This window comes from Homo sapiens, chromosome 15 (genome assembly GCF_000001405.40).
Source record: "Homo sapiens chromosome 15, GRCh38.p14 Primary Assembly".
Taxonomy (NCBI): domain Eukaryota; kingdom Metazoa; phylum Chordata; class Mammalia; order Primates; family Hominidae; genus Homo; species Homo sapiens.
Genome location: NC_000015.10, coordinates 45442087 through 45465951, shown reverse-complemented (window position 1 = coordinate 45465951; position 23865 = coordinate 45442087). Strand labels below are relative to the sequence as shown.

The following is a 23865-nucleotide window of genomic DNA, read 5'->3' as shown; positions in this document are numbered from 1 at the left end:
CCAGAAGACTCAGCAGGCCAGCACATCCCTCCTTCTTCTGCCTGTTTTGTTCTAGCCGCACTGGCAGCCGATTGGATGGTGCCCACTGCTATTGAGGATGGGTCTGCCTCTCCCAGTCCACTGGCTTAAATGTCAGTCTCCTCTGGCAACACCCTCAGAGACACACCCAGAAATCATACATTACCAGCCATCTAGGCATCCCTCAATCCAGTCGAGACATCTAATATTAGCCATCACATCCATCGATCTATTTTATTTATTTATTTATTTTGAGACGGAGCTTCACTCTTGTTGCCCAGTCTGGAGTGCAATGGTGCCATCTTGGCTCACTGCAATCTCCGCCTCCTGGGTTCAAGCAATTCTCCTGCCTCAGCCTCCCGAGTAGCTGGGATTACAGGCATGCACCACCACGCCCAGCTAATTTTGTATTTTTAGTAGAGATAGGGTTTCTTCATGTTGGTCAGGCTGGTCTTGAACTCCCAACCTCAGGTGATCCGTCCACCTTGGCCTCCCAAAGTGCTGGGATTACAGGCGTGAACCACCATGCCTGGCCCATCGATTAATATACTTTGGATTTCATTGTCTCCACTTCACCAAAATTTCTCCCCTGAGGTCACCAATGCTATTCCAAGTGACATAGCCACTGGACATGTTTCAGCCCTTTAAGTTACTAGATTTAAATTTTTTCTTTCTTTTCTTTTTTCTTTTTCTTTTCTTTTCTTTTTTTTTTTTTTTTTTTTTTTTTTTTGAGGCGGAGTTTCGCTCTTGTTGCCTAGGCTGGAGTGCAGTGGCGTGATCTCGGCTCACCACAACTTCCACCTCCTGGGTTCAAGCAATTCTCCTGCCTCAGCCTCCTGAGTAGCTGGGATTACAGGTATGTGCCACCATGCCCAGCTAATTTTTGTATTTTTAGTAGAGACGGGGTTTCTCCATATTGGTCAGGCTGGTCTCGAACTCCTGACCTTAGGTGATCTGCCCACCTTCGCCTCCCAATGTGCTGGGATTGCAGGCGTGAGCCACCACGTCCGGCCTTTTTATTTTCAATACGTGAACCTTCACGCGGTCCAAAAATCAAAGCAATCCAAAAAGACAGTGAATAGCTCATCCTCCTGCTCCCGTTGTCCTCACTGTCTGTCCCCTAATAAGTAACCACTTGTATTAGCTTCTTGGATGTCTTCTTCCAGAGTTTACATCCCCAAGCCTCTTCTCCGCCCACACACACACAAAGGAACGTGCAACACACACACCTCCTGCTAGCGGCTTTGCCCTGTTCACTCCAGAACCAATCTCAGCCTCTCCCAAGGCAGGACTTGCAGAGCTGCCTCTGGCTTCTTTGCAGCTGAGTTCTCACTGGCTCTGCCCGTTCTGACCCTGTGACCAAGGCGCCCTGGAGAACCTCCTTGCTTCCGCGCCTGCACTCTCCTGGCTCTCCTCTCACCTCTCTGACCACTTCCTCTGGCTCCCCAACCTCCTCCTGCTCCTTAAATGCTGGAGCCCTCCAGAGCCCAGTCCTTTCTTCTCATGCCCCATGCTCAGCCTGAGGAGGCTCACACCTTCCTGGCGAGGGCCCCTAGGGAAGCAGTAGCAGAAGGAGTGAGCATGTTTTCATCAAGTACAAGCTATTTGAGTTGCCGGGGAGCCATCTGCCTCCACTGTTGCCACCGCGGCCATTTTCACAGCTGCCAGAAAGAGAACCCGAGAAAGAAGGACTGTAGCACAAAGGTCACACTTGGTACTTTTATGGGCGTCCTTGTAGTTTCCTATATCCCCATATTTGCGGAAGCAGGACCTTTGCTTTCCTCCTAATCAGAACAGCAAAAGCAACTAATAAGCAAAAGAATCACAGAAAAGGGCTGGGCAAGGTGGCTCATGTCTGTAATCCCAGCACTTTAGGGGGCCCAGGTGGGTGGATCACTTGAGGTCAGGAGTTCAAGGTGGGTGGATCACTTGAGGTCAGGAGTTCGGTGATGGTGGTGGTGGTGGTGATGGTGATGGTGGTGGTGGTGGTGGTGGTGATGGTGTGGAGATGGTGATGGTGGTGATGATGGTGGTGATGATGGTGATGGTGTGTTGGTGGTGGTGGTGATGGTGATGGTGGTGGTGGTATTGGTGGTGGTGGTGATGGTGATGGTGGTGGTGGTATTGGTGATGGTGGTGGTGGTGGTGATGGTGATGGTGGTGGTGGTGGTAATGATGGTGATGGTGTGGTGTTGGTGACAGTGTGGTGGTGGTGGTGATGGTGGTGGTGGTGATGGTGTGGTGGTGGTGGTGGTGGTGATGGTGTGGTGGTGGTGGTGGTGGTGATGGTGTGGTGGTGGTGGTGGTGGTGGTGGTGATGGTGTGGTGGTGGTGGTGGTGGTGGTGGTGATGGTGTGGTGGTGGTGGTGGTGGTGATGGTGTGGTGGTGGTGGTTGTGGTGGTGGTGGTGGTGATGGTGTGGTGGTGGTGATGGTGGTGATGATGGTGGTGATGGTGATGGTGATGGTGTGGTGGTGGTGGTGATGGTGGTGGTTGTGGTGGTGGTGGTGATGGTGTGGTGGTGGTGATGGTGTGGTGGTGGTGATGGTGGTGATGATGGTGGTGATGGTGATGGTGATGGTGTGGTGGTGGTGGTGGTGGTGGTGGTGATGGTGATGGTGTGGTGGTGGTGGTGGTGGTGATGGTGGTGGTGGTGGTGGTGATGGTGGTGGTGATGGTGTGGTGGTGGTGATGGTGGTGATGATGGTGGTGATAGTGATGGTGATGGTGATGTGGTGGTGGTGGTGGTGTGGTGGTGGTGGTGGTGATGGTGGTGGTGATGTGGTGGTGATGGTGGTGGTGGTGTGGTGGTGGTGGTGGTGGTGATGGTGATGTGGTGGTGATGGTGGTGGTGGTGGTGGTGGTGGTGATGGTGATGTGGTGGTGGTGGTGATGGTGTGGTGGTGGTGGTGGTGGTGGTGGTGATGGTGGTGGTGATGGTGGTGGTGGTGTGGTGGTGGTGGTGGTGATGGTGATGGTGATGTGGTGGTGGTGGTGGTGATGGTGTGGTGGTGGTGGTGGTGATGGTGGTGGTGATGTGGTGGTGGTGGTGGTGATGGTGTGGTGGTGGTGGTGGTGGTGGTGGTGATGGTGTGGTGGTGGTGATGGTGGTGATGATGGTGGTGATGGTGATGGTGATGGTGATGTGGTGGTGGTGGTGGTGTGGTGGTGGTGGTGGTGATGGTGGTGGTGATGTGGTGGTGATGGTGGTGGTGTGGTGGTGGTGGTGGTGATGGTGATGGTGATGTGGTGGTGGTGGTGGTGATGGTGTGGTGGTGGTGGTGGTGATGGTGGTGATGTGGTGGTGATGGTGGTGGTGGTGGTGATGGTGATGGTGATGTGGTGGTGGTGGTGGTGGTGGTGTGGTGGTGGTGGTGGTGATGGTGGTGATGTGGTGGTGGTGGTGGTGATGTGGTGGTGGTGGTGGTGGTGGTGGTGGTGATGGTGTGGTGGTGGTGATGGTGGTGATGATGGTGGTGATGGTGATGGTGATGGTGATGTGGTGGTGGTGGTGGTGGTGTGGTGGTGGTGGTGGTGATGGTGGTGGTGATGTGGTGGTGATGGTGGTGGTGTGGTGGTGGTGGTGGTGATGGTGATGGTGATGTGGTGGTGGTGGTGGTGATGGTGTGGTGGTGGTGGTGGTGATGGTGGTGATGTGGTGGTGATGGTGGTGGTGGTGGTGATGGTGATGGTGATGTGGTGGTGGTGGTGGTGGTGGTGTGGTGGTGGTGGTGGTGATGGTGGTGATGTGGTGGTGGTGGTGGTGATGTGGTGGTGGTGGTGGTGGTGGTGTGGTGGTGGTGGTGGTGATGGTGGTGGTCGTGGTGGTGGTGGTGATGGTGTGGTGGTGGTTGTAGTGGCGGTGATGGTGTGGTGGTGGTGGTGATGGTGGTGGTGATGGTGTGGTGGTGGTGGTGGTGATGGTGTTGGTGGTGTGATGGTGGTGGTGGTGGTGTGATGGTGGTGGTGATGGTGTGGTAATGGTGGTGGTGATGGTGATGGTGGTGGTGGTGATGGTGGTGGTGGTGGTGATGGTGTGATGGTGTGGTGATGGTGGTGGTGATGGTGTGGTGGTGGTGGTGGTGGTGATGGTGGTGATGGTGTGGTGGTAGTGATGGTGGTGGTGATGGTGTGGTGGTGGTAGTGATGGTTGAGGTGGTGATGATGATGGTAGTGGTGGTGGTGATGTTGGTGATGGTGTGGTGGTGGTGATGGTGGTGGTGATGGTGGCAATGTGGTAGTGATGGTCGTGGTGGTGATGATAATGGTAGTGGTGGTGGTGATGGTGGTGGTGGTGATGGTGTGGTGCTGGTGGTGATGATGGTGGTGGTGATGGTGTGGTGCTGGTGGTGATGATGATGGTGGTGGTGATGGTGTGGTGCTGGTGGTGATGATGATGGTGGTGGTGATGGTGTGGTGCTGGTGGTGATGATGATGGTGGTGATGGTGGTGGTGGTAGTGGTGGTGGTGATGGTGTGGTGGTGATGATGGTGGTGGTGGTGATGGTGTAGTGGTGATGGTGGTGGTGGTGGTGGTGGTAGATGTCAACTGGGAGTACAGGGCAGGAGCAGCAGCTGTGACGGGGCTTGATGTGGATCAGCCTCTGGGCTAGCTTAGACAAGCTACCTCCGTTCCCACATTTGCACAGCGGGCTTCTGAGTAATATATTAATACAGTGTGATCAGCACATGACAAGTACTCAATAACTACACGTTTTCCCTCCACTCCTAACCCTCCCCATCTCCCAGGTATTCCTCCCCCAGCTAGGGTTAGCTGTCCTCCTCGCCAGATGGGTCCGTGGAGGCTCAGTGTTTCCAATAACTTTGCACCCTCTGCTGTCATGCTTATGCCTCTAGCTGGCAGGTACCTGGGGAAGCTGAAGCCTCAGGTACCACTTAATCTTAGCAACAATTAACGGCGAAGAAAGTGAGAGTTTTGTTCATTTTGGATACAGTTATTCTTTATAAACCAATGAAACAATAAATATGCCAGAAATTCCCAAATTATAGAAAAAATTCTATTCAATGAACAGAAGACAGCAAAACCAAAGAGGAATCATATTTAATAAATTCTGCTAAAAATATGGATGAATTGATGAGGAAAAATGAAAGTTGATTCATATCTTTCACTTTATGCTGGAACAAATTCTAGATTCCGATATTCTGTGGAACAGTGTAAAACACTAAGTAGGGGAGGCATAAAAAAGCATTTTGGAGCAGCCAGGTACGGTGGCTCTCAATTCTACTCCGAGCACTTTAGGAGGCCATGGAGGGAGGACTGCTTGAGGCCAGGATTTGGAGACCAGCCTAGGCAACATAGTGAGATCCCATCTCTACAAAATTTTTAAAACTTAGCCTGCCATACCTGTAGTCCTGACTACTCGGGAGACTGAGGTGGGAGGATCACTTGAGTCCAGGAGGTCGAGGCTATAGTGAGCTATAACTGCACCACTGCACTCCAGCCTGGGTGACAGAGTGAGTCTGTGTCTCTAAAAATATGTAAATAAATAAAAATTAAAAAGTTTTGCTCAAATACATTGGAAAAAAATCTGTATATGATATCCCTGTCTTGGAAATACACTGCATGCATTTGTCTCTTTTGTTCAGAGCTGTACAAGCCCCTAGTACCTCATAGTAGATGCTCAATAAATATTTTCTTCAATGAATAAATTACCATCGTTAAGGTTTTATAATTGCTGTAATAAAGGAAGGGATTTATTTTTGTCTAAATATTTTCCCAATTTATTTGACCATGGAACTCCTTCAGAAAAGTTTTCACACCCAAAGAAATAAGAGAAAATCAGTTTGGAAAACACTCTTCAGAAGAAAACAAACTTATCACAACTTGGAAAGAAATATATGTAATACTATGGGTAATAGAAAAAAAATGTTAGAGTTAAAAATGGAAAAGCGTAACCACAAGAACATTCAAGTATATTTCAAAAGAAAATAATAAAAATTAAGATTAAAAAATAGGCCGGGTGTGACAACTCACACCTGTAATCCCAGCATTTTGGGAGGCTGAGGCAGGTGGATCATTTGAGGTCAGAAGTTCGAGACCAGTCTGGTCAACATGGTGAAACCCCATTTCTACTAAAAATACAAAAATTAGCCAGGCATGGTGGCAGGCGCCTGTACTCCCAGTTACTCTTTAAACTGAAGCACGAGAATTGCTTGAACCCAGGAGCTGGAGGTTGCCGTGAGCTGAGATTGTGCCACTGCACTTACAAGGCCTGGGCAACAAAGCGAGACTCCAGCTCAAAAAAAAAAAAAAAAGAAACAAAAAAAAGTAACCATTAGAATGGAAGAAACTGTGACAACCTTGACAGATTAAAAAATTTACTAATATATAGAGATCAAATATAGTTACATAAAGAGAACATATTCGGCTGGTGCAAAAGTAGTTGTGGTTTTGGCATTAGTAGTAATTATGTAATTAACAGTAATGGCAAAGACCGCAGTTACTTTTGCATTTAACCTAATTGTCTGAATAGGCAAAGGCCACCTTGACCAGGCAGTGTGCATAAGAGGAAATCATTGTCAAGCATTTTAAAGGAAAATGTTTTGTTTCACTAATAACTAAAGAAATGTAAATTAATCCACTTTGGTACTACTGTTTTGCAAATGTTCAATCAACAAGCTCTTTAAAACCTACCATTTTGAAAGTCTACCATTGAATGACTTAGGAACGCATTTTGACGCGTTGTTGGGTGGCTATCAATTTAATTTGTGCAGTCTTTCTGAAGAACAATCTAGCAACATTCTTAAAATAGGGCATTAAAATAGTTATATCCTTTGGCCAAATTATTCCTCTTATGAAGATTTTTCCCACGGATATATTAAATTAAAAATAATTGCAAAAACCCAATTACTTTTGTACTAACCTAATAATTCAAGGGAGGGAAAAAACAACATCGAAGCAAATGTTTGCGTACGGCAAGAACACTCAGGGCGAGGAGAGGGAGGCACGCCCTCTAGTGGGGAGAATCCGAATTACCTGGAGGTGTTTTGGGGTTTGTTTTTTTGGTTTCGTTTTTTGCACCCTACACCTGCTTTTCTTCTTTCCCAAGTTTTCGATTTCTTCCCTCACTCTTGCCTAATTCTACTGGTTGGAAATCCCTTTCTACCATTCCATCTGTAACTTTTTTAAACTTTATAATTGAAGTGTTAAATTTATTTTTAAAATTTATTTTAAATATATTCCCAATCTCTGCCTTCATTCTCTAGGACTAAATGTACCATTATCCTGACATCTAGCACTATAAAATGTTTTTTCTGTTTTGACCTTTATATATGATTATGATTATTTTATACCTGGCTTCGTTTGCTCAACATTATGTTCATAAAATCCATCCATCCATATTGTTGCCGTTTGTAGCTGCAGATTCTGTTGGCTTGTCTGTTTTTCCGTTAGATATTCCACTGCATCAATATACTACCATTTATTTTTCCAGCCTATTCTTCGTGGGCATTTGAATTGTTTCCAGTTCTTGCTATTACCTGCCAATAATGCTGTTATAAGCAATCTTGTATGCTTCTTAGTGTCCATGGACTCACATTTTTGTTGAACATATATCAAGAAGTGAAGTTGCTATGACATAGAATACGCCTATGCGTTAACTGTTTTCTAGATAATGCCAAACAATTTTTCAAAGGTATAGCAATTTGCACTTTCTCCAGCAGTGTATGAGAGTACCCGCTGCCCCCATTTTTGCCAACTTGGCAGGCTGCAGTGCAGTGCATCTCATTGCGGTTTTATTTTGCATATTTCCCTTGGGCAAATTTAAAACAACTAAAGTGAGTGGCACGCCCTCTAGTGGGTAAAATCTGAATTACCTGAAAGGGTCTTTACAGCGTATACAGGCTTCCTGGGCTTTCCTCCGCCTTGTCCTCCACCAGTAGTCTCGAAGAATAAAAAGTTGAACATCTTTCATATATTTATGGTGCATTTGATATCCTCTTTTAGAAATTGCCCCTTTAAGCCTCTTGCTTATTTTTCTACTGATTTTTTAACAGCCCAATCGCTAAGATTTTTTATATTAAATTGTAAGAGTTCTTTATAGATTCTGACAAAGTGCTTTATTAGTTACATGTGTTTCTGCGCACGCCTTTCCACCTATAACTTAAATCAGCTGATTTTCACCTCTATTAACACGAGTCTCAATCCAAGTTCAATTTTGTCATATTCAAAATCGACCAGGAGATGGCGCCCTAGCCTTGCGTCTGAGCCTTCCACAGGCTGTGCCTGAATTTAAACTAAACCTCCCAAAATATTTTGTAAGGGATGCTAAAGAGATATTAAACTTTCAACCACTACAAACAGGTAGTATATAGCTAGAGCTGGGCCTCTTGGTGAGAACAACATATTAATCTTTTAGGGGAAAGTGACTGCTCAAAATAAAGAAATAAAAAGATCTTTATCACAAGGCAGGAAGCTGGGGTGAGGTTGCCCAGAAACAGGTGAGGACCCAGTAGAATCCATGGAAACACCCTCTGAGAAGTAACCTGCGGACCGATTAAGACAGTGGCACTACCTCGCAGGCCCTGGGACGGCTGTTTCACTGTTTACAAGGGCACCTGCCAGCGAAGGGTCTCAGAAGAGGGTAGAACAGGGGTTTGGTATTTTTCCACCTCCCTTCCCTTAGTCCTCTTTTTGGTTTTGTTTTCATTCATTATATTTTGTGACTGCTTAAAACTTCTGTCCTCCTGCTTCCTCCCAGCACCCCCGCCCCCCTTGCTGAATGAATGAATGGATGGCAAGGTCTTAGCCTTTTGATCTTAGAAATCAGTGCACATAAACCCCACACTCAAAGGAAGACCCCCAGGGAGAGCCCTACGTGTAGAGGAGGCTCCTCCAAGAGGGGGCTCGGGAGGGGGCTTGGTGGGCTGGGCTGGCCTGGCCTGTGCGCATGAGAGAAAGGAAAGGCATCTGCTGCCGAGGGCCATGAACAAGGGGCCGAGGCACACTGTGGGCATGGTGGGAAGGCGACCTCTTTTCTCCAACTTTCACAAGCGCCTGGCAGGAGCCACTACGTGGACATCGTGAGTGGTTCATCAGCAAGAATACAGGAACGTCAAGCCACAGATTCCACTCATTTCCTGAGGTAGCCAAGACAGGGTTTTTACCGCTATGAGTCACCACCCTCATGCCTCCAAGGCCTAGTGCAAAGACGAGCGCATGTGGAATGTGGTGAATGACGTCATCACTGCTGTTCATTCTCACTGTCCAGAAATGGCTCCAGGCTGAGTTGCACCCTCAAAGCTTTCCTCTGTTTCACCTCTGTTCAGACCCAATGCAGGCCCCTTGCAGCCCAGAGGAATAAAGAGATGCCTAGAAAGAGGCCGTGGCCACTTGTTCTCTTTTGTTTTCTTCACTGCGGAGGACTGAGCAAGCCCACTATCTGAGCAATGTGGAAATTCCAGCCCTCACAGGGCTTCACACCTTCAAGGGGAAGAACATTGCGCCATGAAACTTCCTTGCTCTAGGCCTGCCAGGGTAGGTGTCCGGGGGCTGGGTTCTGGGCCCGCACCAGGTCCCCAGGTCCAGGCCGCGAAAGAGCGGGTCTGCTGAGTGGGAGGGGCTGCCTGGGGCCAGGCTCTGCTCTCACTGGGGCTGACCCCACACAGGGATTCTGAGGCCTGCTGCCCACAACCTGCTGCCCAGACTGATGGTGTCCAGACAGAGGGAGGGTGACAGATGGATGCTGGGAGAGGGTACACAGCCCTGTGAATGCATCTCTTGGAGTCTGGGGTTTGGTGCCTCTTCCTTTCTTCCTGGTGCTAATGGTTTGCTGGATTGAGTTTGTACTGCTTGCAAGAGCTAATTGTGGAATTTTCAGAAATTTTGCAAAGCAGTTATTAAATTGTCATCATTTTAAAAATTAAATTATAACAACTCATGAGAAAATAAGTTTTGTTTTTGTTTTTGTTTTTGGGACAGTCTTGCTCTGTCGCCCAGGCTGGAGTGCAGTGGCACAATCTTGGCTCACTACAACATCCGCCTCCCGGGCCCAAGCGATCCTCCAACCTCAGCCTCCCGAGTAGCTGAGATTATAGGTGCATGCCACACACCCGTCTAATTTTTTAATTTTTAGTAGAGACGGGATTTCACCATGTTGCCCAGGCTGGTCTTAAACTCTTGAGCTCAGGTGATCCTCCTGCCTCAGCCTCCCAAAGTGCTGGGATTACAGGCGTGAGCCACCATGCCCGGCTGAAAATAAATTATTTAAAAAGCAATGAATACTGAAAACATATCACTTCCTAATTCTTCTAGTATGTTTTGCAGTTATAGATACGCTTGAGGCTACTCGTGTCTATTGGGTGTAGGGTGGAACTATCGTACGGCAGGTGCTGCTGCACACCTCTTCCCATTCTGCCTTCAGTAACATCTTGGTAGTAGCCTGAAATTGCCCGTGGTGGGAGTATTTGTGTCATAGAAATCAGCTAATGCTGCACTGCTTGCCCCCAGAGCCTGTTGTTATCCATTTAGCAGCACAGCACTGCACCTGGCCCACAGATCCCAGAACCTGAATGTGCAGCAGCTGGGACAGCCAGCCCCCGGCTTTCCACCTGCTCTGCCAACTCTGGACCTTTTTCTCAGCCAGACCAGAGGGGAGGGAAGCAGGAGCAGGGAGGCAATGGGAGGGAGAGGTGGTACCATGCCCAGGAAACACCCTTGAGCCCACCCAGGGCACAGCTGGGAAGAGCCTGGCTCACTTACAGGGTGGGAGGACTGATCTGGGGGTGGGGAGGAGGCAGGGGAAACCTGGGTTATGAGGAGGGTGACAAGGTTCATCTGCAAAAATGAAAGAAGTTCAGTGATGGAGCTGAGGAAAAGTGCGGCAGGCTGGCAGCAGGCCTTGTGACGACACAGCGGGGAAACCACAGGATTCTGCATTCTTCTGACCACAAGAGGAAGGTGAGCCAGAACCCAGCAGAAACGAAACCCCAAGGCGCTGGGCTGTTAGTAAAGTGCTGGCGCCTCTCCCAGGCCCCTGGTCCCCCTGCTGGGTAACAGCACAGGAGAAGAGGCAACAGGACTCCCGGGCCTGAGGTGGCCCTCCCAACGTGTCCCCAAACTTCCTGGCCACTTGATTCTCTGCCCCCTCCTTAACAGTTGTTTCTCCAGGTCACCCCCAGCCCTCCTCTCCACATCTCTGTGTCTTCTCACTCACACCTAAGGCTTCCAGCACCTTCTGGTTTATATATCAAGCTGGATGTCCCATGGGCACTCAGACTTGTCACCTCTCCTCCAAACCTGCCCCTCCCCTCCGATCTCATTTCGGGGACAGCAGCAAGCACCAGTGGCCAAACCTGGACGGTCTCCTTTGTTCAGCGACCTTCACGGCCCAGGGAGCCCCGCTGCCTCCTCCACACCCTGGGCTCCCCACATCCCTCCCTGCCTCAACCCAGCTCCCAGGCCTCTGAACACAGCTCACAAATGGAAATGACTTTATATTTTTGTTTTTTTGTAGAGATGGGATCTTACTATGTTGCCCAGGATATTCTCAAACTCTTGGCTTCAAGTGATACTCCTGCCTTGGCCTCCCAGATTGCTGGGATTACAGGTATGAGCCACCACACCTGGTCATGAAATGATTTTTTTCTTTTGGGTGCACTATGTCTATGACATTGCATTTACTAAACAGTAATTTCTCTCACCCTTCTGAAAACAAAGTTGTATACACAAATTCCAACCAGAATTTCATCCACTAAACACTAACTGAGCAGTTACTATGCTCAGAGTAGCTGAGCAGTTACTCTCACGTGCTAGGCATGAGAGCTGCAAAGGTGAACAGAGCCCGTCCTGGCCCACTTGCTGGGGAGAGTCCCATAAACAGACGATCAACCATAACAATGCCCTGAGGTAAGGATGACAATGTGGACGTGTACACCATCCTAGGGGCCACGGTGGGAAACCTGCCAGGTCTAGAAGCCTGGCGTCCTCCTGGCCACCTCTATCTCCCTCACTCCTTGCATCCAGTCACTCCCTGCACCCCTGGATCAAGTCTCCTTAAACTCTCAAATCTGTGCTGCCCCCTCATCTCCAGAGACACCACTGACTTTAGGTCTCAAGTGAACTCTCTGATCCCGGCCGTTCTCCACACCAAAGCCAAAAAGGGATTCATAAAGGGCAAAAATGAATGTGTCATTCCCCTATTTAAAACCTTCAGTGGGCCGGGCGTGGTGGCTCATGCCTGTAATCCCAGCACTTTGGGAGGCTCAGGTGGGTGGATTGCTTGAACTCAGGATTTCGAGACCAGCCTGGGCAACAGAGTGAGACTCTATCTCGATAAAAACAAAAATAAAATCATTTTATTATTATTATTTTTTTTTTGAGACAGAGTTTCACTCTGTTGCCCAGGCTGGAGTGCAGTGGCACGATCTCAGCTCACTGCAACATCTGCCCCCTGGGTTCAAGTGATTCTTGTGTCTCAGTGTTGCGGGAAGTCAGGGACCCTAAATGGAGGGACCAGCTGAAGCCATGACAGAAGAACGTGGATTGTGAAGATTTTATGGACATTTATTAGTTCCCCAAATTAATACTTTTATAATTTCTTATGCCTGTCTTTACTGCAATCCCTAAACATAAATTATAAAGATTTCATGGACACTTATTACTTCCCTAATCAATACCCTTGTGATTTCCTATGCCTGTCTTTACTTTAATCTCTTAATCCTGTCAGCCAAGGAGGATGTATGTCGCCTCAGGACCATGTGATAATTGCATTAACTGCACAAATTGTACAGCATGTGTGTTTGAGCAATATGAAATCTCAGCACCTTGAAAAAAGAACAGGATAACAGTAATTGTTCAGGGAATAAGAGACATAACCTTAAACTCTGACCACCAGTGAGCCAAACGGAACAGAGCCATATTTCTCTTCTTTCAAAAGCAAATAGGAGAAATATCGCTGAATTCTTTTTCTCAGCATGGAACGTCCCTGAGAAAGAGAATGCGCACCTGGGGGTGGGTCTCTAAACTGGCCCCCGCCCCCCCCTCCCCCACGGGCGTGGTTGTCTCTTATGGTTGAGTCTGCAGAGATGAAATAAACTCCAGTCTCCCATAGCACTCCCAGGCTTATTAGGAAGAGGAAATTCCCGTCTAATAAATTTTGGTCAGACCGGTTGATCTCAAAACCCTGTCTCCTGATAAGATGTTATCAATGACAATGGTGCCCGAAACTTCATTAGCAATTTTAATTTCGCCTCTGTGGTCCTGTGATCTCACCCTGCCTCCACTTGCCTTGTGATATTCTATTACCCTGTTAAGTACTTGATGTCTGTCACCCACACCTATTCACACACTCCCTCCCATTTTGAAAAATCTCTAATAAAAACTTGCTGGTTTTTGTGGCTTGTGGGGCATCACAGATCCTACCAATGTGTGATGTCTTCCCTGGACACCCAGCTTTAAAATTTCTCTCTTTTGTATCCTGTCCCTTTATTTCTCAAGCCAGCTGACACTTAGGAAAAATAGAAAAGAACCTACGTGATTATCAGGGCAGGTCCCAGGTTCAAGTGATTCTTGTGTCTCAGCCTCCCCACTAGCTGGGATTATAGGCCATGGCTGGCCAATTTTTGTACTTTTAGTAGAGACGGGGTTTCACCATGTTGGCCAGGCTGGTTTCAAACTCCTGACGTCAAGTGATCCGCCCACCTCAGCCTCCCAAAGTGCTGGGATTATAGGCATGAGCCACCGCACCCAGCCAAAATTCTAAATAATTAAAAAAAAAAAAAAAAAACCTTCAGTAGCTCCTGTTGGCCCTGGGATACCATCCAAACTCATTAGCATGGCTTCACAGCCCTTTCTGATCTAACCCAAATTAACATGAGAATTATTTCTTTTACTTGTTCCTGTGACACCAATTTAAGTGAACATTTGCTATGTGCTAGGCCAGTGGTTCCTGAACTTTTTGGCACCAGGGACCAGTTTCATGGAAGACAATTTTTCCACTGATGGGGCAGGATGGTTTCAGCATGAAACTGTTCCACCTCAGATCATCAGGCATTAGATTGTCATAAGGAGTGTGCAACCTAGATCCCTCCCATGCACAGTTCACAGTAGGGTTCAAGCTCCTAGGGGAATCTAATGCCACACTGCTGATCTGACAGGAGGCAGAGCTCAGGCAGTAATGCCAGCTTGCCCGCGGCTCACCTCCTGCTGTGCTCCTGGTTCCTAACAGGCCATGACTGGTACTGATCCTTGGCCTGGGGGTTGGGAACCCCTGTGCTAGGCATCGTTCTGGGTACCAGGATGCAGCAGTATACATACACACTGTACCCCTCGTGGAGCTTGTGGTCTAACAGGGGATACAGACACTAAACAAATAGCGACACAGATCATTACGATTGTGTGAGTGCAGGAAAAGGAACATTTTCCTGTCAACTCCCTGCTTCAGCCACAATAAACTACTCATAGTCCCTGCCTCCTGGCCCTGGCTCAGGCTGGCCTCTCTCCTTCAGTTGGCCAAGTTCTCCAACCCTCCTGGTCTCAGCTCAAGGTTCTCCTCTCTAAAGGAGTCTTTCCTGAACCTCCTAGGCGGTTCCATGGGATTCTGCTCCCACCCTGGGTCCTCCTGAGCCCAGCACAGGGCTTGGCATAGTAGATGCTCAGTAAATGTTTGCCGCACGAATGGTGAACAGGTCCTCTTAATCCATGTGTGAGTGTTTGCTTTAAAAAATAATAATTATAGAATTTTTTACTTTGATTTTATATCTTCACAAAAGGTTAGTGCTGGGTGCTAATAAAAGTAGAGAGAACCATTACTTAAAATAGAATGCTTGTGAACCCGAGGACTTTCAGGGACTGTGACTAAGATGTTGGGATTGAGGGGTCTCCAGGATGCCTCAGGCCAGCAGGAGGTGGGTGGGGGCTGAGGGGAGGTGAGCCGGCTGCCCAGCCTCACAGAGCCTGTGCTATGGCCACCAGCTCTTCTCTGGGCTCTTGGCCCAGAAGCCTGACTGACCTCCCACTGCCACCCTCTACCCTTCGGCAGAAGCCTGGGGTCTGCCCCTGGATTTAGCTCCTGTGGGCTATACAGTGCTGGGAGGAGAAGAGCAGCTGGGATCGGGATCAGAGGGGCCTAGGGCAGCTGTACCCTAGCACTTTTCCCAGGGCCGCCTCGCTGAGGCTGCTCCGCTCCTCTCTGCTGGGTCAGCAGAGGAGCTCCACTCCCCCACCTCCTCAGTACCTGCTGGGGTTTGAGGCTGTGTCAGGCTTAGGAGCAGCAAAGGAAGGTGAGCTCCGCCACCCACCCACTCTGAAAAGGCTGCTGCTCCCTCCAGAAGAGACTTTGTCCTGTCTGGGAGTCCCCACCTTCGGCCCCTTATCTATAAAATCCACACCGCTCCCTGAACTGCCTTCTTCCTTGGAATTACAGAGTTGAAAGATCACCTGGACCACTCCATTCAGTTTACAGAAGACGACACTGAGGTCTCGAGTGAGGGATTAAGTACCCAAGATGTCACAGCAGATAATGGCAGAGTCATGATTTCTAACAAACAAACAGAAGAAGCAAGTCCCCTGCCTGTCGTCAGCCGGAGCCCCTCTGCTACGCCTGCTCCCCTGTTTCCCATGGACTGCCTCATCTTTTGCCTCTAGTTTGAGCCTGAAAGTTACACCTCCAATGAATGAAACTCACAGGATCATTGGCATCCAGTCTTCCTCCTCCACACCCACTCTCGGCCACCTGCCCTTCTCATCCACAGGTGGGAGCAAAGCTTGGTCAACCTGATAGGCCTCTTCCAGGCAGGGACAGGAGAAGGGACGGCACAGCAGCTCTGAGTCAGGACTCCTTTCGGTAAGGCGTGGCCGCCAGGAAGGCCTGAGAGAAGGAAACCAGCCCAGGTGCGCTCTGTTTACCTTCTCGGCTCACAAACATGACCAGACCCTCCTTGGCTGGCTGGATGAAGTCCCAGCCACTTAGTCCAGCCCTCGAGCCTCTCCCATTCCAGCCACAGTCTGCCTGGCCAGTTCCATCCCCCTACGGCTTTCCTGGTGTACCACACCATCCTCGGATTGCAGCTCGCCCTCTTGGGCCTTTCTGGCCTAGCAGGTGCTGTTCCTTCAGCTCCAATGCCCTTCCCTGCCTCTCCACCCGGCAAGCTCCTTCTCTTTGTATCTTCTGCACTAACACTTCCCTCCTCCCTCCCCTTCCCCTCTTTTTCCTTTGTGCCCCGGTGGCACTTCTGAGACAATGTTACAAGCATAATAAAATAACAAAATCATGAATCTGTGTCCTCCTCCAGACTCTCCTCAATGACAGCAATTGTGTGTTTATCTTTAAATTCTCAGAGCCTAGTATATAGTAAGAACTCAATAAAGGAAAACATTGCTCAACAAATCAATATATGGACTCTGGATTTATGCCAGAGCTAAACTGGGAAGCAAGTTCTAATGTCACATAAGGATTCCCTTCTGATTCATTTGTTCATCAAATAGTTATTGAATACTGCTACGTGCAGAGCACAGTGTAGACAGAGTACGGGGAGCATGAGGCTGGGGTGGACTCGTTCCACTTTCAAGGAGTTTGCATTTTGAAAGTGCAGAAAAGGCAGAAAAGAATTTGAGTTATAAGAAATGGCTAGCATTTACTGACCACCACTGTTATAAGCAGATTATTGCATTTAACTGAACATTAACCCCATAAAATAGGTACTTTTATTGTTAGCCTCATTTTACAGATAAAAAGATTGAGGCTTGCAGAAGTGGAGAGATGTGGCCACGGTACAACTAGGAAGTCATGGAGGCAGGATTTGCACCCAGGCACGGCCTGGACCCCACCAGAATTAATGATGGTGGGGAAGCAATTAACTTTGCCTCAGGAAACTGGGAAGTCAAGGAAGGCTTCACCTAAGAAGGGGCGGCTGAGATGAGCCCTGTAGGACAAGCAGGATTTCCACAGACAGGAAAGTAGCACACCCCAAACTATAGAAAGATCTGGTATAAGACTTTTAGGGTTTAAATTAGTGGCCCTGAACCTTATCTGCACACTGCAAACACCTGGAAGGCTTTAAAAAGCATGGATGCCCCCAGGTCCTGCCCCGGAGATTCTGATACGATTGGTCCTGGAGGCTCTAAATGGGGAGGTGGGGAGGGGCCTGGTGTAAAGTGTATAAGGCGACACCTACCTGCAGCCCAGACGCTCCCTGGATGTTCCAGGTCCTGTTTGTGGAGCTTTCCTGTCCCCTTGGGAGGGGCCCCAGACAACGTGGGCAGGGCTGGTTCTTCCTCCTTCAAATTCATTCCTTTTCTGACCATTTGTGACCTTCCTGTGGCCTGGAGTTGTCGAAGACTCCTGGGGAAATTCCATGGTTTCCTTGCAAGGGGGCATGGGTTCTGTAGAAGGAAGGCACCCAGCTTGCAGTATGCAGGAGCCGAGACCTGCAGGTCAGAGTGAAGACAGCTGATTTGAGGACCCTGGGCAGGCAGCTTGTGTGCTACAGACCTGACGCGGGACAGGAGGGGCTGGAACCCCCCTCCTCTACATCCCAGCAGGCAGGCTCTGTGGGGCAAGGGTGGCTGTCAGGAGAGGGCACCTGGCTTCACCATCACACTGCTGGACGCCCTCAGAATGGTGACATCCCCCAGAGCCAGGGGAGCCAGGCCGTGTGGCTGCAATGGGCAGGGGCTGGATTTCCCCTACTCAGGCCCAGGCAGTGACTCAGGGACAAGTGTTGAAAGCAGACAGTGACCTCAGCTTCCTCGCCCACTGGGGAATGTCACCATGCCCCAGAGCCCCCTCAGGAGCAGACAGCCTGGGGTTCGGTAAGATGGAAGTTGGCAGCTTGGTGTCATGTGGGGCACACAGGACTCTTGCTCTCACCAGCTGGGTGCCCAGAGCTTCCTGTTCCTCATAGAAGTGACATGAACATCCAAGGAGGTGATGTTCATGAACACCAGGAAGGCGCAAAAACAATGACAACCTGTCAGTGCCTGCTGCAATCCATGTATTTATATATTATTGTTTTTCATATATTAATATAGTGTTCCCCTGTATCAGGTCTTATTTCCTTTAAAATTTTTTTTTGTTATTATAAATACCACTGCATTTTGTTTTGAAACACTCCTCAAACTGGCCAGGTGTGGTGGCTCATGTCTGTAATCCAAGCACTTTGGGAGGCCGAGGTGGGAGGATCAATTGAGGTCAGGAGTTCAAGACCAGCCCAGCCAACATAATGAAACCCTGTCTCTACTAAAAATACAAAAATTAGCTGGGCGTGGTGGCGTGCGCTTGTAAACCCAGCTACTTGGGAGGCTGAGGCATGAGAATCACTTGAGCCTGGGAGGTGGAGGTTGCAGTGAGCCGAGATCCCACCACTGCACTCCAGCCTGGGCAACAGAGTAAGACTCCGTCTCACAAAAAGAAAAAAAAAAGAAAGAAAGAAAGAAAGGAAAAGAAAAGAAAAGAAATACTCCCCAAAGTGAAACCCTAGGGTACAGTATCCAAAGCTCTGGCTTACCTATTGCCAGGTTGTCCTCAAAAAAGTTGGCCTAAGCTGCAGTGCTCCTAGCAGTATATGATTTGTACCTATTTCCTTATAGCTTTGCCAATGGTAGGTTTCATATTTTTATTTATTTTTGATAATGAATGGGTGTGCAGTGTGGCCTCCAAATAGTTTGAACGGACATTTATTTAATTTCTATCATTGCATAGAGTATCCACCTGCCTACTAGAAAAGGAGCTCCTGTGGGCCAGGCACAGTACATCACATCTGTAATCCCAGCACTTTGGGAGGCAGAGACGGGCAGAGACTGCTTGAGGCCAGGAGTTCGAGACCAGCTTGGGTAACATAGTGAGACCTCATCTCTACTATAAATTTTTAAAAATTATCTGGGCGTGGTGGCACACACCTGTAGTCCCAGCTACCCAGGAGGCTGAGGCAGGAGCATTGCCTGAGCCCAGGAGTTCGAAACTGCAGTGAACTAGGATCTCACTGCTGCACTTGAGCCTAGGAGACAGAGTGAGATCCTGTCTCAAAAAAAATGGAAGGAAGGGAAGGAAGGGAAGGATGGGAAGGAAGGGAAGGACAGAAAGTATGGGAAGGACAAGAAGGACGGGAAGGACAGGAAGGACGGGAAGGAAGGGAAGGAAGGAAGGTCGGTCTCTCTGGAATGTGGTCCCTACTGGATGGTAGGTGGGTGGATCAATGTGCAAGCCTTCACCTCAGGGATGCCTCCCTGAAGCCCAGGCAGGCCTCTTGCCTGTGCTTCCACAGTCGTGTGACCCTTTCCTTCAGTCACCTTCTCATAGCTGTCATTTTATGTGCATTTGGGAAACTGATTAGTTTATTTCTTCCCCCACAAGACTGTAACCCCATGAGGACCTACTGTTCTGCTCACCATTGGATCACTTATCACCTGGTGTGTGCCTGGCCGACAGTAGGCATTCATTTAAATATTTGCTGAAGTGTTACAGCTCTTTTAGAATTTGTCCAGCAGGCTTTCTGGTTTTTGCTGGAAAGCCCCCCTCCCCCAAGAAAAGTAATTTAAAAAATGAAATACATACATACATACATATATAAATATTCGTTGAATAAATGAATACTTGAAAATCTCATGAGTAAGTATCCAGAGCTCAACTGTGGTATGTATCTTTGCAAAAGAACTTGTCACTGGGCTTAATCAGAAACATTTAAGGAGGACCTACCACATGCCATGTACTCTGTAGCATGGGGTAGGGGGTCAGTTATACAAAAGTGAGAACACAAGGTCTATGCCCTTAAAAACACAGGCTGGTGGTGAGACCCACGCGTCTGCTGTGTCTGCTGTGGGGTTGTGCCCTGTTCTCCCTGTAAAGGAAGCTTCAGGGACAAGTGAAGCTGTTTACCCATGGTCATGGCAGGATGCAGCCCTCTGGGACATCCTAGACCCCAAGATTAGAACAAGTGTGGCCAGCCTAAGCCATAGTCTCCCACGGTCAGATGGCCAGTGACTTAGAACTAGAGAAGCGGGAAGTTTGGGCACTGGGAAGGATCTCGGAAATGCTCTAACACTTGGCTACATCCTGAACCCCCAGGCGCAAATCCCAGCTCTGCTGATTACAGGGCCATGGCAGCCAGGCAAAGCACCTGCCTCTCGGCATTCACTGAAAAAGCCTCAAGGGCTGTGGAGGATTCAAAGGTGGCTGGCGCACGGTGAGCACTGACACACGTTAGCTGGTGAGTGATTTCCCCAAGGTCCTGCAGAGCAAGAGGAAAACCCCCATCTCCTGACCTCGCAGCCGTCAAAACCATATGCTCGTAAAGCTTTTTGGTGTAAGTATTCCCATCAAGAGGAAGGAGATGTGTTTTTGTTTTTTTTTTTTATGCAAAGCAGCTTCAACTGAAACTGACCTCACCATGGGCGTCTGAGTTTGTTTTTGGAGAGGAGGGAGGGAATGAGCCAACTCTCCAGGAACAGCGGGGACACACCCAGGTTGCCCAATCCCTCAGGGCAGTGGAGCCAAGTGCCTCCCAGGCCCCTTTCTGGGCCGGAGGGCGCTGTGGGGTTGCCCTCCTCAGTGCCAGCTCCTCCACAGCCACGGGTCTGCAGGTGACAAACCCAGATAGAACCTTCCCCAGGATCAGCACAGGGTGAGGTTATCACAGGCAGGCCTGGAATGACCCTCAGACCAGCAAGAAGAGTCACATAGACCACATGTCTCTCACCACTCAGGATAGGGCGATGACTGTTCCCACTCACTCACGCGTTGCCTCTGAAGCTGCCCTCACTGCTTTTCAGGGCTCCTGGCTCATAATAATAATCCCGCCAGCCCTGGACACGTGCTGTCCCGCCTCGGCTTCCTTCTGATTTTCTGCGCAGTTCTTTCTCCAGACTGGCTCCCTTTCCATCTCTACTCCCTCCATAAATTGGGGCGCCAGGTGCCCCTGTGATGGTCTCTCAGCCCTTTCTTTCCTTCAGTTGTGTGCCTCTGGCTGGAACTCTGTCTCTTACTTCACCTCTTGGGGGACAGTCTGACCCACCCAGTAAACCTTTTCAAGCCAGGGTCTGGTGGGCTGAGAAGGGTGCTGTACCCTGCAAGTCCTCCAAGATCTAATCTCACCCCATCTGGTCCTGCTCTGCTTCCCGCTGATCCAACTGTTCTTCCTTTAGGGATAGAGAGGGCTTCAACACAAATGCTTCCTGACACCATGGCTTATAACATAAACTCTGTGCTTGGTTTCCTAAGCTTTGGCCTCCAGAGAAAAACCCTTTCTCAACATACTGCATACAACATATGCATGCTGGTTTTCAGAGCATGCTGTCAGCTATGGCTTTTGAAGCCTCTACATTGAAACTTTTTTTGTTCTAGGCCAGAGCTGCTCAGTCTTTACCTGTGTATAATAACCTGAGGAGTTTATGTGTCAAAACACAGATTTCTGGCCAGGCGCTGTGGCTCATGCCTGTAATCCCAATACTTTGGGAGGCCGAGGCGGGCGGATCACGAGGTCAGGAGATCAAGACCATCCTGGCTAACATGGTGAAACCCTGTCTCTACTAAAAAGACAAAAAATTAGCTGGGCGTGGTGGTGGGTGCCCATAGTCCCAGCTACTTGGGAGGCTGAGGCAGGAGAATGGCGTGAACCCGGGAGGCGGAGGTTGCAGTGAGCCAAGATTGTACCACTGCACTCCAGCCTGGGTGACAGAGTGAGACTCCATCTCAAAAAACAAAAAAACGAAAAAAAACAGATTTCTTGGCCTCATCCCCAGAGACTGAGATTGAGATTCAGTAGATGTGGGCTGTGGTCCCAGAATTTGCTTCCCTCTCAGGTAATGCTGATGCTGCCAGTCCACCAACTCCACCTGGAGCAGGACTGTCCTCGAAACCTCAGCCCTCACCCCAAAGTAAGGAATGCTCCCAGCTTAAAGTCAAAGGGGAGAAGAGGAATGAAGGAAAAGATGCAGGCAAGAAATATCTCACTTAACACATTCCCAAATACTGACCTACTCCACAGGTTTACCCTTGCAAAGTAATGAGTTCTTTGCAAAGCAAGGTTCTGAGAAGTAAGGAAATTTGCCCATGTCACACAGCTTTTGATTGGCACAGCCTGGATCCAAGTGCTAACCTGTCTGCTTGGTCCTGGCCCACTGAGTCACTGAATTCATGTGAGATTGATTGTCACTGGTAGAAACATCACCAGACATGGTGACATGGCTGGTGAGAACTGTCATCTCTGCTACCCACACAGTGTTCACAAATGCACGTGCAGCTATCTATACACCTGATAAATCCCACTGCTTCTCAGGTTAGGGTGCTGGGGTTAGTGTGTCTGAACAGTGGCCGGAGCAGCCTAGCTGAGAGAGGCATTCCCACGCTTGGGTCTTCCATGTCTGGCTTGATCCTGCCCTCCATATAGCATGACTATGACTGATAGGTCAGGACTGTCCTAGAATATTACTGACTGTGTGAGAATTCTCAAGCACCAAATGTTATAAGGAGTAGAAAGCTTTAGCACCAAGGGTTTAGCACTTTCTCAAAGTGTGGTCCCAGGCAGGTGCAGTGGCTCATGCCTGTAATCCCAGCACTTTGGGAGGCTGAGGCTGGAGGATAGATTGAGACCCAGAGTTCAAGACCAGCCTGGGCAACATAGTGAGACCCCCATCTCTAAAAAATATTTTAAAACAATTAGCTGGGTATGGTGGTGCACGCCTGTAGTCCCAGCTACTCAGGAGGCTGAGGTGGGAGGATCGCTTGAGCCTAGGAGTTCGAGGCTGCAGTGAGCTATGATCAGGCCACTGCACTCCAGCCTGGCTGACAGAGTAAGACCCTGTCTCAAAAAAAAAAAAAAATTAAAGAATTTTTTAAAATAAATAAAAAAAATTGTGGTACCCAGACCAGGAGCATCAGCTTCACCTGGGAACTTTTTCGAAACCCAAACACTTGGATCCCAGCCCTGACTACTGAAGCAACAACTTTGGAGTTAGGGCCCAGCAGCCCACATCTTAACATGCCTTCCAGGATTCTGACTCACAGCTAAGGTTTGAGAACTGCCGTTCTCAGGAGAGAATTAGCCAGATTCCTAGTATGGCTTGGGAGGCTTTGATTTGGTGGCATGGAGGGTTCCCTGCTCTCTGGGTTAGCTCTGACATTCACCAGTGGAGGAGGAGTTTGTGAAGCATATGGTGATAATCTAGCTGTGGGGTCAACTGCACACTGCTGCCTCAATCGGTTGCAGCCTTGCCCTGGAGGGGATTTATTGCCAGGATAGTCTTGCTGCTGTGGTAACTCTTGCATTCAGGCCAGGCCCTTCCTCTGTGGGGGATAAATTTACATCACTTAGACACTAGGTAAACTCAATGCCCTTCTCTGTTCCCCAGAGCCCAGGGAAGCCTATTTATTGTCACTGCAGTGGTAGACCGAATCACTGCCCTGGCCCAACTGGCCTTGGTGTATTTCTTTCTTTCTTTCTTTCTTTTTTTTTTTGAGTTTCGCTCTTGTTGCCCAAGCTGGGGTACAGTGGCATGATCTCAGCTCGCTGCAACTTCTGCCTCCTGGTTTCAAACGATTCTCCTGCCTCAGCCTCTGAGTAGCTGGGATTACAGGTGCATGCCACCACGCCTGGCTAATTTTTTGTATTTTTAATAGAGATGGGGTTTCATCATGTTGGCCAGGCTGATCTCGAACTCCTGACCTCAGGTGATCCACCCGCCTCAGCCTCCCAAAGTGCTGGGATTACAGGTGTGAGCCACTGTGCCCGGCTGGTGTATTTCTTACAATGTTCAGGAACTCCCAATTTTCTGTTTTAGGAAAAAAGTAAATTGAATGTTATATGTGGGGTCGGTGTGGAGGAAAAGTTAAATATTAAATTTGAATTCAATTAAACATGGACAAAAACAATGATCACCAATTCCCAGAACAGGTTG

The 23865-nt window shown here is 48.9% G+C and overlaps 1 protein-coding gene, 1 long non-coding RNA gene and 1 pseudogene across 11 annotated transcripts in view, besides 4 other annotated features; 2 read left to right on the top strand and 1 right to left on the bottom strand.

Annotated features, from left to right (window-relative positions):
- Nucleotides 1-17598, bottom strand: part of SLC30A4-AS1 (SLC30A4 antisense RNA 1) — a 51695-nt gene extending 34097 nt beyond the window's left edge. For 2 of the 10 annotated variants that reach the window (XM_047433408.1, XM_047433407.1), the window contains exons 1-2: nt 17151-17598; nt 15662-15844 (exon numbers count right to left, since the gene is read on the bottom strand). In XM_047433408.1, the coding sequence (XP_047289364.1) occupies nt 15662-15844; nt 17151-17353 (386 nt within the window). In that variant the 5' untranslated portion in view covers nt 17354-17598. The other 8 variants (XR_007064611.1, XR_007064610.1, XR_007064614.1 and 5 more) reach the window with 7 other exon arrangements.
- Nucleotides 6345-6923: an enhancer, noted in NCBI's record as "NANOG hESC enhancer chr15:45751227-45751805 (GRCh37/hg19 assembly coordinates)". NCBI's record gives its function as "activates a minimal SCP1, AML or CMV promoter by ChIP-STARR-seq in naive H9 embryonic stem cells {active_cell/tissue: H9 hESC(naive)}" and the evidence as "EXISTENCE:reporter gene assay evidence [ECO:0000049][PMID:30033119]".
- Nucleotides 9189-9238: an enhancer, noted in NCBI's record as "active region_9361". NCBI's record gives its function as "activates an Ori minimal core promoter by ATAC-STARR-seq in GM12878 lymphoblastoid cells {active_cell/tissue: GM12878}" and the evidence as "EXISTENCE:reporter gene assay evidence [ECO:0000049][PMID:35858748]".
- Nucleotides 9444-16251, top strand: LOC124903483 (uncharacterized). Its single transcript, XR_007064616.1, has 4 exons — nt 9444-9513; nt 10828-10935; nt 11492-11584; nt 15401-16251. It is a non-coding gene; the product is annotated as an uncharacterized LOC124903483 (long non-coding RNA).
- Nucleotides 11084-11584: an enhancer, noted in NCBI's record as "H3K4me1 hESC enhancer chr15:45746566-45747066 (GRCh37/hg19 assembly coordinates)". NCBI's record gives its function as "activates a minimal SCP1, AML or CMV promoter by ChIP-STARR-seq in naive H9 embryonic stem cells {active_cell/tissue: H9 hESC(naive)}" and the evidence as "EXISTENCE:reporter gene assay evidence [ECO:0000049][PMID:30033119]".
- Nucleotides 15490-16420: an enhancer, noted in NCBI's record as "H3K4me1 hESC enhancer chr15:45741730-45742660 (GRCh37/hg19 assembly coordinates)". NCBI's record gives its function as "activates a minimal SCP1, AML or CMV promoter by ChIP-STARR-seq in primed H9 embryonic stem cells {active_cell/tissue: H9 hESC(primed)}" and the evidence as "EXISTENCE:reporter gene assay evidence [ECO:0000049][PMID:30033119]".
- On the top strand, nt 19428-19487 carry RNU7-5P (RNA, U7 small nuclear 5 pseudogene; annotated as a pseudogene).